The 13630-nt window shown below is 44.2% G+C and overlaps 1 annotated feature.

Annotated features, from left to right (window-relative positions):
• Positions 3828-4122: an enhancer, noted in NCBI's record as "tiled region #11147; HepG2 Activating DNase matched - State 9:DNaseU, and K562 Activating non-DNase unmatched - State 3:PromF". NCBI's record gives its function as "activates a minimal TATA promoter and a strong SV40 promoter by Sharpr-MPRA in HepG2 and K562 cells {active_cell/tissue: HepG2 | K562}" and the evidence as "EXISTENCE:reporter gene assay evidence [ECO:0000049][PMID:27701403]".

Here is a 13630-nt window from a genome sequence, read left to right as displayed (position 1 = left end):
CAATATGGAGTCTTTTCAGACTGGCTTCTTTCACTTAGTAATGTGCATATAAGTTTTCTTCATGTCTTTTTTTGTGGCTTGATAGCTCATTTCTTTTTAGTGCTGAATAATATTTCATTTCCTGGATGTTCCAGAGAGTTTATCTATCCATTCAGTTATTAAAGACCCCCATGGTTGCTTCTGGGTGTCAGCAATTACAAATAAAGTTATTATAAACATCTGTTTGCAGGTTTTGCATGGACATAAGTTTTCAACGCCTTTAGGTAAACACCAAAGAGCATGATTGCTGGATCATGTGATTAGGATATGTTTAGTTTTGTAAGAAGCTGCTGAACTGTGTTGGCAAATGGCTGTACCATTTTGCATTTCCACCAACAATGAATGAGAGTTCCTGTTTGAGACGGTTTGGCTGTGTCCCTACCCAAATCTCATCTCAAATTGTTAGTTCCCATAATTATCATGTGTTGTGGGAGGGGCCCAGTGGGAGATAACTGAATCATGGGGGCAGGTCTTTTCCATGCTATTCTCATGATAGTGAATAAGTCTCATGAGATCTGATGGTTTTATAAAGGGGAGTTTCCCTGCACAAGTTCTCTTCTCTTGTCTGCCACCTTATGAGATGTGGCTTTCACCTTCCACCATAATTGTGAGGCCTCCTCAGCCACACAGAACTGTGAGTCCATTGAACCTGTTTTTCCTTATAAATTACCTAGTCTCAGGTATGTCTTTATCACCAGCATGAAAATGGATTAATACACCGTTACCCCACACTCTTACAGGATTTGGTCTTTTCAGTGTTCTAAATTTTATCCATCTAATAGATGGACAATGTTATCTCCTTGTTGTTTAAATTTACATTTCCCTAATGACACATGATGTGGACCATCTTTTCATATGCTTATTTGCCATCTCTGTATTTTCTTTAGTGAGATGTCTGTTAAGGCCCTAGGCCCATTTGTAATCAGGTTGTTTGTTTTCTTATTGTTAAGTTTTTTAAGATTCTTTGTATTTTGGGATAATGTTTCTTTTAAATCAGATATATCTTTTACAAATATTGTCTCCCAGTCTGTGGTTTGTGTTTTCATTCTCTTGACTATCATCTGCAGAGAAGAAATATTTACCTTTAGTGAAATCCAGCTTATCAATTATTTACTTCATGGATCATGCCTTTGGTGTCATATTTAAAAAGTCATCACCAAACCCAAGGCCATCTAGGTTTTCTCCTAAGTTATCTTCTAGGAGGTTCACACTTTTGTATTTTACATTTAGGTTTATGATACATTTTGAGTTAATTTTTCTTTTTCTTTTCTTTTCTTTTTTCTTTTTTTTTTGCTTGTGGATGTCTGGTTGTTCCAGTACCATGTGTTGAAAAGATGATCTTTATTGTATTGACTTTCCCCCTAGTCAAAGATCAGTGACTGTATTTATGTGGCTCCATTTCTGGACTCTCTATGCTGTTACATTGCTCTATTTGTTTATTCTTTTGCCAATGCCACACCTTCTTGATTATTACAGCTTTATAGCAAGTCTTAAAGTAGAATAGTGTCAATCCTCCAACTTTGTTCTTTTCCTTCAATATTGTGTTGGCTATTTCTGAGTCTTTTGCCTCTCCATATAAACTTTAGAATCAGCTTGTCAGTAGCTACAAGAGAACTTGCCGAGGCTTCGAATGAGATTGCTCTGAATCTACACATTAAGTTTGAAATAACTTACATCTTCACAAAATGGAATCTTCCTATCTATGAACATGGAATGCCTCCATTTATTTAGTTTTTCTTTGATTTCTTTCATCAGAGTTGAGTAGTTCTTCTCAAGTAGATCTTATGCATGTTTTATTAGATTTATATCCAATATTTCATTTTTGAAGGTGCAAATGTAAATCATTTTGTGTTTTTAATTTCAGATTACACTTGTTCATTGCGGGCATACAAGAAAGCAATTGACTTTTGTATATTAACCTGTAACCTACAATATTGCTGTAATCACAATAGGAGAATTTTTGTGATCTAATACAGTTTTTCAAATCTAAACACTTAGTAAATACCTGACACTTAGTAAATAATAAATATTGGTCTCATGAACGGATGCATAAAATAGTGTAGTAATTAACAGCACTGCCTTTCAAAACAAGACAGACTCAGATTGGAAACTCAGCCCTGCAATGTGACTTTCAGCAAGTGACAACTTGTCTGGGCCCCATTTTCATATTCAGTAAAACAGGGACACTATGAGACCCACCTCACATGGATGTTACATGGATTTATTGAGATCATTCACACTGTATTCTTAGCACTATTCCTGAGTTGGATAAATGTGCTAGGCAAATGCTCCTAAACAGTAGCTGGTGATATTCTCATTAATGTAATTAATGAAACTCCCTCCCAGGGAGGTAGGTCTTAGAATTTCTCCAGGTATGTAGTATAATGCCCACTCCAGGGATCCAATTCTAGAGAGCCTAATTCAGTCTATCTGGCCCAGAGCTCTTTAACCTGCAATTTTAAATTTTTTTTAGCAATCCTATTCCAGCACTGGAAATCTGCATTTTAAATAAGCCCCCTGGGTTCCTTAAAGAACGAAAAGTAGATCTAACATTTGATTCAGCAATCTCACTCCTAAGTATCTACCCAGAAGAAAAGGAGCCGTTATATGAAAAAGACACTTGTAAAGGCAAGTTTGTAGCAGCACAATTGCAAAAATATGGAACCAGCCCAAGTGCTCATCAATCAATGAGTGGATAAAGAAAATGTGGTGTACAGGTATATGTACAGGTGGTGGTTGGTTACATGGAGAAGTTCTTCAGCAGTGATTTCTGAGATTTTGGTGCACTCATCATCCAAGCAGTATACACTCTACCTAATGTGTAGTATTTTATCCCTCCCACCCTCCCACCCTTTCCCCCGAGTCCTCAAAATCTATTGTATCATTCTTATGCCTTTGCATCCTCATAGCTTAGCTCCAATTTATGACAGAGAACATACGATGTTTGGCTTTCCATTCCCGAGTTACTTCACTTAAAATAATGGTCTCTAATTCCATCCAGGTTGCCGCAAATGCCATTATTTTGAAACCCAAAATCCAGAAATTACTGCTAAAGAACTTCTCCAGGTAACCAAACACTACCTGTTCCCCCCAAAATTACTGAAATAAATAAATTAATAAACGAACAAGCCTCCTGAGTGATTCCGATGCAATGGCTGCGCTTTGAAAACACAGGTCTAAGTTTTCACTAAGGAAACTGACAGTCAATTTAGGGAAGGTGGAAGGCTTAGTCAGCTTGTATTTAATTTGGCATTTGACAGGGCCTCATAATTTCCTCATGATTAATACTCTAAAAGCAGACAGTTTCAAGCACTTCTCATACACCAAGCTCTCTGCCAAAGTGACTAACAGGTCTCAGCTCCTAGCGACCCAAGAGGAAAACGTTATTGCCCCCATTTTACAGATGAGGAAATTGAGGCTCAGAGACAGGCAGGAATTGCCTAAGGGCACCGAGCTGGGGAGTGGCAGAGCCTGTGGGCAGCCCAGTCTTGTGTACTGTGGCTGAAGGCATGAGCCCGCCTGCAAACACTGATGCAGACGAGGAGGAGCTTGTGTGAAATCCGACAGAGATCCCCACAGATTCCAATGGGTAGGAGAGGCTTATCAGGATAAAATATGGTGTAGTTCAGTCTAAGCACCGATATTAACTTTAAAAACAGCTTCATTGAGATATGATAGAAAACACTAAAATATCTGTGTTTAAAGTGTACAATTTGATATGTTTTGACAAATGTAAACACCCATGAAACCTTCACCATAACCAAAGTCATGAGCATGGTATTGGTCTTTGTCAGCTCCGGCTGCCATGACAAAATTCCACAGCCTGGGGGATTTAAACAACAGAAATTTATTTTTTTTCACCATTGTGGAGGCCAGAAGTCCAAGGTCAAGATGCCAGCAGGGCTGGCTCCTGGTGGGGCTCTCTTCCTGGCTGGCAGACGGCCGCCTTCTCACTGTGTGCATACATGGCCTTTCCTCCAGATCTTGTTCTGTTCCTCTGGAGTGCAGTGGCGCCATCTTGGCTCACTGCAAGCTCCGCCTCCTGGGTTCACACCATTCTCCTGCCTCAGCCTCCCTAGTAGCTGGGACTACAGGCGCCGGCTGCCAGGCTCAGCTAATTTTTTGTATTTTTTAGTAGAGACAGGGTTTCACCATGTTAGCCAGGATGGTCTCGATCTCCTGACCTCGTCATCCGCCCGCCTCGGCCTCCCAAAGTGCTGGGATTACAGGCGTGAGCCACCGCGCCCAGCCCTTTCCTCTTCTTATAAAGACACCAGTCCCATAAGATCACGACTCCACCCTTGTGGCACCCTATTTAACCTTAATGACCTCCTAAGAGCCCTGTCTTCAAATATAGTCACATCTGGGGTTACACCTTCAACATACAAATTTTTTGGGTTGACACAGTTCCTCCATAGCAATATTTAAACTTTTAAAACTTAATTGCTTATCCAAGTATGGGTGGAAATTTTTGCCCATAAAAGTCTGTTGGCCAGGCGTGGTGGTTCATGCCTGTAATCCCAGCAATTTGGGAGGCCAAGGTGGAAGGATCTCTTGAGCCCAGGAGTTCAAGACCAGCCTGGGCAACATGTGAAACCCTATCTCTACAAAAAATAATTTTTAAAAAAATTAGCCAGGCAAGGTGGTGTGTGCCTGTGGTCCCAGCTACTTGGGAGGCTGAGGTGGGTGGATCACCTAAGCCCAGGAGGCTGAGGCTGCAGTGAGCCATGATCACTAGCCTGGGAGACAGTGAGACCCTGTCTCAAAAATAAATTATTATGGAATTACTGCTAGAGTAAAAAATCAAAGCCACTCAAATGCCTAACCATAGAGGCAAAGCCAAGTAAGTGATAGTGCACTTGTATAGCAAATGTGAACATAAGCCTGCATTTAGAACAGGACTTGACACTTAGTAAGTCCTCAATAAAAAAGTTAAAAAGCGTTAGAGTTTCTAGTGATGTAGAGAAATGCTGAGGATGTGGTCTTAAGTGAAAAAAGCATAATTTTAAATGGCATTAGAAATCTAATCTAAACATGTATATAGCAAATATAAACACATAGAAAAGGCTAGAAACTATTAAAATTTTAACAGGGATTGTCCTAGAGTGATGGGAATAATAGAAATTATATTTGCTGCTTTAAATACTTTTCTCTAGTTTCCTGGTTCTCTAAAATGAGCACATACAACTTTTATAATGAGGAATAAAAACTGTATTTGCAAATTAGAAGCAGCATTGGAAAACTCAATTGCACAGGAATGAGAGAAGAGGCACCTGGCTTGGCAGAGGTTCATGACAATGACCTCGAATAACTGAAAGAATTAGACAGACATGGGTTTGGGTTTCAGATTCAAACAGATGTGCTATTTTGGGGCAATTTACCGGGACTTCTCTGGGCCTCAGTTTCCACATCTCTAAAATGGGTATCTTCATGGGTCCTTTAGGAGCATGCTTTGAGCTTTGAGTATAGCTTCATCCTCAATTTTCTTTTCTCCATCCTCCCTGCTGACTCTCTTTCATCTTTTGTCTGTTCTTTATCTTCCTGATTATTTTTCTCAGTTATCCAATTAATATTTACTCACACACTTTGTTCCAGGCTTAGCCTAATTTCTGATGATGCAAGGATAAACCAGCTATTTTCCCATTCCCCTTGAGGATGAGGAAAGGCCTTGATGAGCCAGGACAGGCCAGGGGTCTTGGAGTCAGCCACTCCTCATTGTCAGCACACCACAAGTTCTCCCTGTCACACCAGGAAGATGCAGTCCGACTGGAAGGTAGAATGAGCTGTAGGGGCTGGCCCACAAGATCTGCACCCCTCATCCTCCTTCCACGAAGGGAGCTGGGAATGCCAAGGATGGATGCATAATTCTGGGGTAAGAGGGACTCAGGAAAGGGCAGACATCTGATCCAGGTCTGGAAAGCTAAGCAGGGGTTTAATCAACAGGGAAAATGCAGGGAAGAGGGAACAGCACTGTTAAAGGCCTGGGGTTTAGACCTGCACTTTGTGCAGCATAACTAATTCTGGATGGAGAGGAAGGAGGACATGAGGGTGGCACCTGGAGATGGCTGGGGATTTGAGGGATGAGTGTAGATAGGGGCAGGAACCACTTCCCAAAGTGCTTGTAGGTGAGGGTGAACACTCAGATCTTTAACCCAAAGGCAGTGGGGAGCCATTGAAGGGATCATGTAGTGGGGAGGTATGAGGTTTTCTTAGACAGAGACACCTGTGGCTCAATGAAGAGGCTGGATCAGGAGTGAGAAAGCAGCAGGAGCAGGTGAGAACCTGTTTCGTGATACAGGGAGGGCTGTGGGGATGGAGAGGGGAGGAAGCTCCGAAAGAGGTTGGGACAGAAGGATTGACAGGGCTGTGCAATGGGCTGATTTGGTTGTGCAGGGGATGCCTGCACAGCTCCCGGGGAGTAAATAGATAATGGTGGTCCCCTGTAAGCCAGGAGAGGCTGGAGGAGGGAGAAAAGGAAGGAGAGGAGAGAGGAGGGGGAGAGGAGGAAAGGAGGAGTAAGTAGAGGAGGAAAAGAAGAAAGAGGAGAAGAGAAGAAAGAAGGAAAGGGAGAAGGAGAAGAATAAGGAGAGAAAGAGAATGAGGAGGGAAGGGGAGGAGGATAGAGGAGAGGGAAAAGAGAGAAGGCAGAGGAGGAGGAGGAGAGGGAGAAGCAGGGGGAGCTGAATTCCTTCTTAGGGGATGGGACTCTGCCTAGGAAGTGGGGAGCCTCCTCTTCATGCCCTGGGGTGACCTTCCCTGCCCTTAAGAGGTCTTGCCAGGCTTAATAAGGGCCTATAATGTGCAGGGACTGTCAATTACGGAGATGAGTTTATTTTGAAGTCCAAGATAGGAATGGCTGTGTCTCAACCAGGTATGTGTTTACACCTCCAGGCCACCGATGCCAGAAATAAACATTTTTGTCATGGCCTCAAAACTGAGCCCAGGCCCTAGAAAGGTGCTGTGCAGAGGTCTGCCCTCTAGACTCTAGGTCATGGTGGGGGAGAACAAACATTTAGGTGACCACTACTACGTGCCAGGCAGTGCTGAGCACCCAGGATGAGTGCAGTGGGAACTTCATTCTGGAGACCCTTATAATCCGGCGGGGAGGCAGAGGGGTACAGGCAATGACAGGGTTGTCATCAGCATTGAGACAAAGAGAAGTGCTTGGGGCTGGAGGCCCACAGGGGTCTTCCCGGAGGGTGATGTCTCTCCTGAGGATTGGAAGGGGCTAGCCAGGCTGCAGCAGGCAGGGCGGGGAGCTCTGCTGGCCCATGATGAATGGTGTACACATTTCCTGTGGCTGCTGTAGTTAATAACCACACACTGGGTGACTTGGGACAACAGAAATGTTCCCCTTCATAGTTTGAGAGGCCAGATGCCTCAAATCAAGGTGTCAGCAGGGCTGTGCTCCCTAGGAAGGCTCTAGGGGAGGAGTCTTCCTTGTCTCTTCCAGCTTCTGGTGGTTGGCAACAACACAGGTGGTGCTTACAGATGTGTCCCTCCAGTCTCTGCCCGCATCGTCACATGGCCCTCTTCCCATGGCTGCATCTCTTCTCTTCTTATGAGAACACCAGTTACATGGAATTATGGTCCACTCCAATCCAGTGTGACCTCATCTTAATCACATCTACAAAGGCCCTATTTCCAAATAAGGTCACATTCACAGGTTCCGGGAAGACATGAAGTTTGGAGAGACACTACGGAACCCAGTATAAGTGGAATGGCTCAGTGTGACTGAGACTTCCTTCTAAGACAAGGAGAGGTGCTGGTTGGAGATGGGCTGGAGGGGTAGGCAGGGGCTAGGTTATGGGGGACCTGTCAGGCCAGGCAAAGAGCCTTGGACCTCGATTGCAAATCTATAAACAAACACGGCTTTCTCAGGAAACACAGGCAGATTCCCTTGCAGAGCAATGCAGAGAGGGCATTAGATTTTGATCTCTGAAGGGCTGGCTGAATTCGAAGACGTTGGCCTCATCCTCCCTGATGTGTCTGCTGCCCTCTGACACCCTACAGATTTATTCCTCAGCAGCAATTAAGGTGAAGAAATGTGGTCAGGCCAGAGGCAGCTCCTTTTTCTGATGTCTGGGATTGTTTTTTTTTTTTTCTTCCTGCGGAGGATCTGTCTCTGAAAGATGATGAGGCCCTCTGCCCTTGCTCCAGGGAAGACCCCCTGCCTTTGTCAGCCTGGGCCTGATTCTCACAGATTGTCTTAGGGTCCTTGAGCACAGGGGACATGTGACCACTTGTGACACATGGCCCTTCATAACACCTGGCTGGGAGCCTGAATGTGTCTTTCTTACCTCCTGTGTGCCAAGTACTGTGCTCAGCACTGCAAATTCACTTTTGGTTTGAAACCTGCTAACCCTTGCATGCCATTGGCTTGGTTATCCCCATTTTATAGAGGCAGGTGCTGAGGCCCAGAGAAGCTCAGTGGCTGGCCAAGCTCATACAGCCAGTAAGCCAGGCAATGGTTAATTTTAGGAGTCAACTTTTCTAGGCTACGGTGCCCACTTATTTGGACAGACACTGGTCCAGATGTTGCTATGAAGGTATTTTGTAGATGAGAATGACCTTGATAATTAGCAGACTTTGAGCAAAGCAGAGGACCTCCCATAACGGGGGTGAGCCTCATCCAATCAGTTGAAGGCCTTGAGACTCGAGACTGTGGTTTCCCAAGGAAAGAACTCTCCTCAAGACTGCAACCTAGAAAGCCTGCCTGAATTTCCAGCCTGCAGATTTTTACTGAAGACCATATGACATCAACTCTTTCCTCAGTTTTCAGCTTGCCAGCTTGTCTTAAAGATTTCAGATTTACCAGCTCCTACCATTGCATGAGCCAATTCCTTAAAATCTCTCTGTCTTGCCCAGGCGTGGTGGCTCACGCCTGTAATCACAGCACTTTGGGAGGCCGAGGCAGGCAGATTACGAGGTCAGGAGATCGAGACCATCCTGGCTAACATGGTGAAACCTCTTCTCTACTAAAAACACAAAAAATTATCCAGGCGCAGTGGTGGGCGCCTGTAGTCCCAGCTACTCAGGAGGCTGAGGCAGGAGAATGGCATGAACCTAGGAGGCAGAGTTTGCAGTGAGCCGAGATAGCGCTACTGCACTCCAGCCTGGGCGATAGAGCGAGACTCCGTCTCAAAAAAAAAAAAAAAAACTCTCGTCTTTCCAGCTTGCAGATAAATGTTTTGATAAGTAGATAGATGGATAGATGGATAGATGGATAGATAGATAGATAGATGAGAGAGGCATATAAATATAGATATGGTTGGATAGACGGATGGGTAGATTAAAAGATGAGAGAGTGATAAATATAGGTATGATGGATGAATAGATAGATACAAAGACAGGTAAAGATGGATGGATGGATGGATAAATAGATGAATTGGTAGATAGATAAATACATACATACATACATAGATGAAGGGTGAGTGAGTGGATTGATAGATGGGTGGGTTGGTGGACAAATGGATAGGTGGGTGAGTAGATGAGTGGATGGATAGAGACAGAAAGAGAGAGAGAAGAGAGAGAGAGACAGACAAGACAGACAGAGAGACATCATCTCCCATTGGTTCTGCTTCTCTGCAGAACTCTAACTAACAGCACAAACAACAAGGCAGGGATTCAAATGTTGGGCGTCTCACACCAAGCTGCTGTCCTGCTGCCTCCCTCACATGGCCCCTCTGAGTGAGTTGCACTGGCCATGCCCAGTGTGCCCCATGCTGCAGCAGCATTGCAGCATCACCTGGAACCGGCTGACATGCAGAGACCCAGGGCCCCTTACTGAATCAGCAACCGCATTTCATCAAGTCCCAAGCAGTGCGGGCATGGAGCTCCTTTCCTATTCCTAGGTAGTATCCCACTTGATATGGTTTGGCTGTGTCCCCACCCAAATCTCATCTTGAATTGTAGCTCCCGTAATTCCCACGTGTTGTGGGAGGGACCTAGTGGGAGGTGATTGAATCATGGGGGCAGGTGTTTCCTGTGCCGTTCTCATGATAATGAATAAATCTCATAGGATCTGATGGTTTTATAAAGGGGAGTTCCCCTGCACACACTGTCTCTTGCCTGCCACCATGTAAGATGTGACTTTGCTCCTCATTCACCTTCTGCCATGATTGTGAGACCTTCCTAGCCATGTGGAACTGTGAGTCAATTAAACCTCCTTCCTTTATAAATTACCCTGTCTTGGATATGTCTTTATTAGCAGTGTGAGAACAGACTAATACATCACCTCACTCATGGTCCCAGCTAGCCTGCTTGCTTTCCCACATAAGAGGCATGAAATAAATTCCAATGGGTTGCTTAGTTGATCTCTGTCCTGTCCCTGATATTTAGAATTGGCCCTTCTATTCACTGTATATTTTATTTCCTGTCCAGACATTTTTTATTGTGGTGAAATATACATACATAAAATTTACCATTTTAACCATTGTTATGTGTATGATTCAGTGGCACTAAGTACATTCATATTATTGTACAACAGTCATTACCATCCATCTCTAGGACTTTCTCATCTTTGCCAACTGAAACTGTCCCCATTAAACAATAACTCCTCTTCTCTGCCTGCACCCCAGCACCTGGCAACTGCCCTTACACATTCTCTGTCTATGAATTTGAGTACTCTAGGGACCTCATATAAGTGGAATTACACAAATTTGTGCTTTTGTGTCTGGTTTATTTCACTTAACATAATGTCCTCAAGGCTCACCCATGTTGTAATGTGTGTCAGAATTTCCTTTCTAGGGCTGCATAATATTCACGTGTGTGTGTGTGTGTACTATATTGTATTTATTCATCTGTCAGTGATCACTTAGGTTGTTTTCACCCTTTGGCTATTGTGAATAATGTTACTATGAACACGAGTGTATAGATATCTATTTGAATCCCTGCTTTAAATTCTTTGGGTATATCCAGACGTGGGATTTCTGGATTTCTGTTTGACTTTTTTTAATGTTTAACTTTTTGAGGAACTGCCACACTGTTTTCCACGGTGACTGCACCATTTTACATTCCTAGCAGCAGTGCACAAGGTACATAAGGGCTCCAATTTATCCACATCCTCACCAACCCCATCAGTTATTTTCTGTTGTCTTGATAGTGGCCATCCTAATGGGTGTGACTTGATATTTCATTGTGGTTTTGATCTGGAGGGAAGGAACCATGTTTTACATGCCTGTCTCCCCAGTCCTGGTGCAACACTACAAGGAGCAGGAACCCAGTAACAATGTGAGAATGAATGAATGAATGAGTGAATGAGTCGAGATATTTTCAGATGACCTCAGTAAGCCCACCTCAGTTAATAGCCCTCCACCTGATTGAGTTAACCTGCCCCTCTGCATTCCCTTACTGCAATTCACACAGCACTGGACTAGGGGAGTGAACTACATCTTCCCCTATCATCCTGCAAATCTGGAAAAGCCACAGGGCCAGAGCAGCCTGGAACCAGCTCTGACAGGGTCAGCCAGCTCAGTTCTCCAGTGGAAGGCTCTGTTTTGAAGAAGGTGTTTTATCTATCCCTGTTGTAATTTGTGCCCAGTGGACTCATAATTTCACCAGCAATTCATGATATATGGCAGAGTGTGTATGTGCATGTACACATGTGTGTGATGTATTACTCCCCATCGCAGTCACTGTGGCTCACAGTGGAAAGCACACAGGTTTTGGTCTCAGGCTGGCTGGGATGTAAATTCCAGTGATGAGATTTCAGTCAGGAGGTGTGGGCCCTGGAGGGGGCACCCAACCTCCTGGAGCCTCAGAGTCTTCATGCATAGATTGTGAGCATCAGAACCCTCCTTGTCTAATAGTTCTGAGAATATCAAATCATAGTAAATATTTATTAACTACACCAGTACTTTACATATTCATTTGAGTTGAGTGTATTTTCCGTATTAGTCCATTCTCGCATTGCTATAAAGAACTACCTGAGACTGGGTAATTTATAAAGAAAAGAGGTCTAATTGACTCATAGTTCTGAAGGTTGTACATGAAGCATGGCTGAGGAGACCTCAGGAACTTAAAATTATGGAAGAAGGCAAAGGGGAAGCAGGCACATCTTCCCATGGTGGAGCAGGAGAGACAGAGCAAAGGGGCAGGTGCTCTACACTTTTAAACAACGAGATGTCACAAAAACCCATGATCACAAGAACAGCAAGGGGGAAGTCTACCTCCATGACCCAATCACCTCCACCAGGCCCCTCCTCCAATGCTGAGGATTATAATTCGACATGAGATTTGGGTGAGGACACAAAGCCAAACTATATCATTCTGATCCTTGCCCCTCCCAAATCTAACGTTCTTCTCCATTTCAAAACACAATCATGCCTTCCCAACAGTCCCCCAAAGTCTTAACTCATTCCAGCATTAACTCAAAAGTCCAAGTCCCAAGTCTCATCTGGGACAAAGCAAGTCTCTTCTGCCTATAAGTCTGTAAAGTCAAAAACAAGTTAGTTACCTCCAAGATATTTGTATAATGGGGTACAGGCATTGGGTAAATCCACTCATTCCAAAAGGGAGAAATCCGCCAAAACAAAGAGATTTTAGGCCCCATACAGGGGAGTAGTTGAATATTAAATAAATAGTAAATAAAAAATATATGTTAAATACTTCCCAGCAGGGCAGTAATTAAATATTAAACCTCCAAAATAATATTTTTTGACTCAATTCTTTCACATCCAGGCCACACTGATGCAAGAGGTGGGCTCCCAGGGCCTAGGGGACCTCCACCCCTGTGGCTCCACAGGGTACAGCCCCCAAGGCTGCTTTCATGGGCTGGTGTTGAGTGCCTGTGGCTTTTCCAGGCACACGGTGCAAGCTGTCAGTGGACCTATCATTCTGGGGTCTGGAGGACAGTGGCCCTCTTCTCACAGCTGCACTAGGCAGTGCCCCAGTGGGGACTTTGTGTGGGGGCTCCAACCCTGCATTTCTCCCGCTGCACTGCCCTAGTACAGGTTCTCCACGAGGGCTCTGCCCTGAAGCAGACGTCTGCCTGGACGTCGGGGTGTTTTCATTCTCTGAAATCTAGGTGGAGGCTCTCAAGCCTCAACTCTTGCCCTCTGTGTACCTGCAGGCTTAACACCAGGGCTTCTTACAGTTTGCACCCCCTGGAGCAGCCACCTGAGATATAACTGGGGTCCTTTTAGCCGCAGCTGGAGCTGGAGTGGCTGGACACAGGAAGCAGTGTCCTGAGGAGGTTGCACAGGTTTTTGTGGACTGGGCCCACAAAAACCATTCTTCCCTCCTAGGCCTCCAGTCCTGTGATGGCAGAGGCTGCCATGAAGGTCTCTGAAATGCCTTTGAGGCATTTTCCCCATTGTCTTGGCTAGTAACATTCAGCTCCTCTTTAGTTATGAAAATTTCTGTAGCCAACTTGAAAACCCCCCAGAAAATGGGTTTTTCTTTTCTACCACATGGTCAGGCTGCAAATTTTCTAAACTTTTATGCTCTGTGTTCCTTTTAAATATAGTTTCCAGTTTCAGATGATCTCTTTGCTCACACATATGATCATACACTGTTAGAAGCAACCAGGCCATATCTTGAACACTTTGCTGCTTAGAAATTTTTTCTGCCATATTCCCCAAGTCATCTC

The sequence above is a fragment of the Homo sapiens genome, chromosome 4 (assembly GCF_000001405.40).
Source record: "Homo sapiens chromosome 4, GRCh38.p14 Primary Assembly".
NCBI classification, from domain to species: domain Eukaryota; kingdom Metazoa; phylum Chordata; class Mammalia; order Primates; family Hominidae; genus Homo; species Homo sapiens.
Note: the sequence above shows the minus strand (reverse complement) of the source record. Positions and strands in the feature narration are given on the sequence as shown.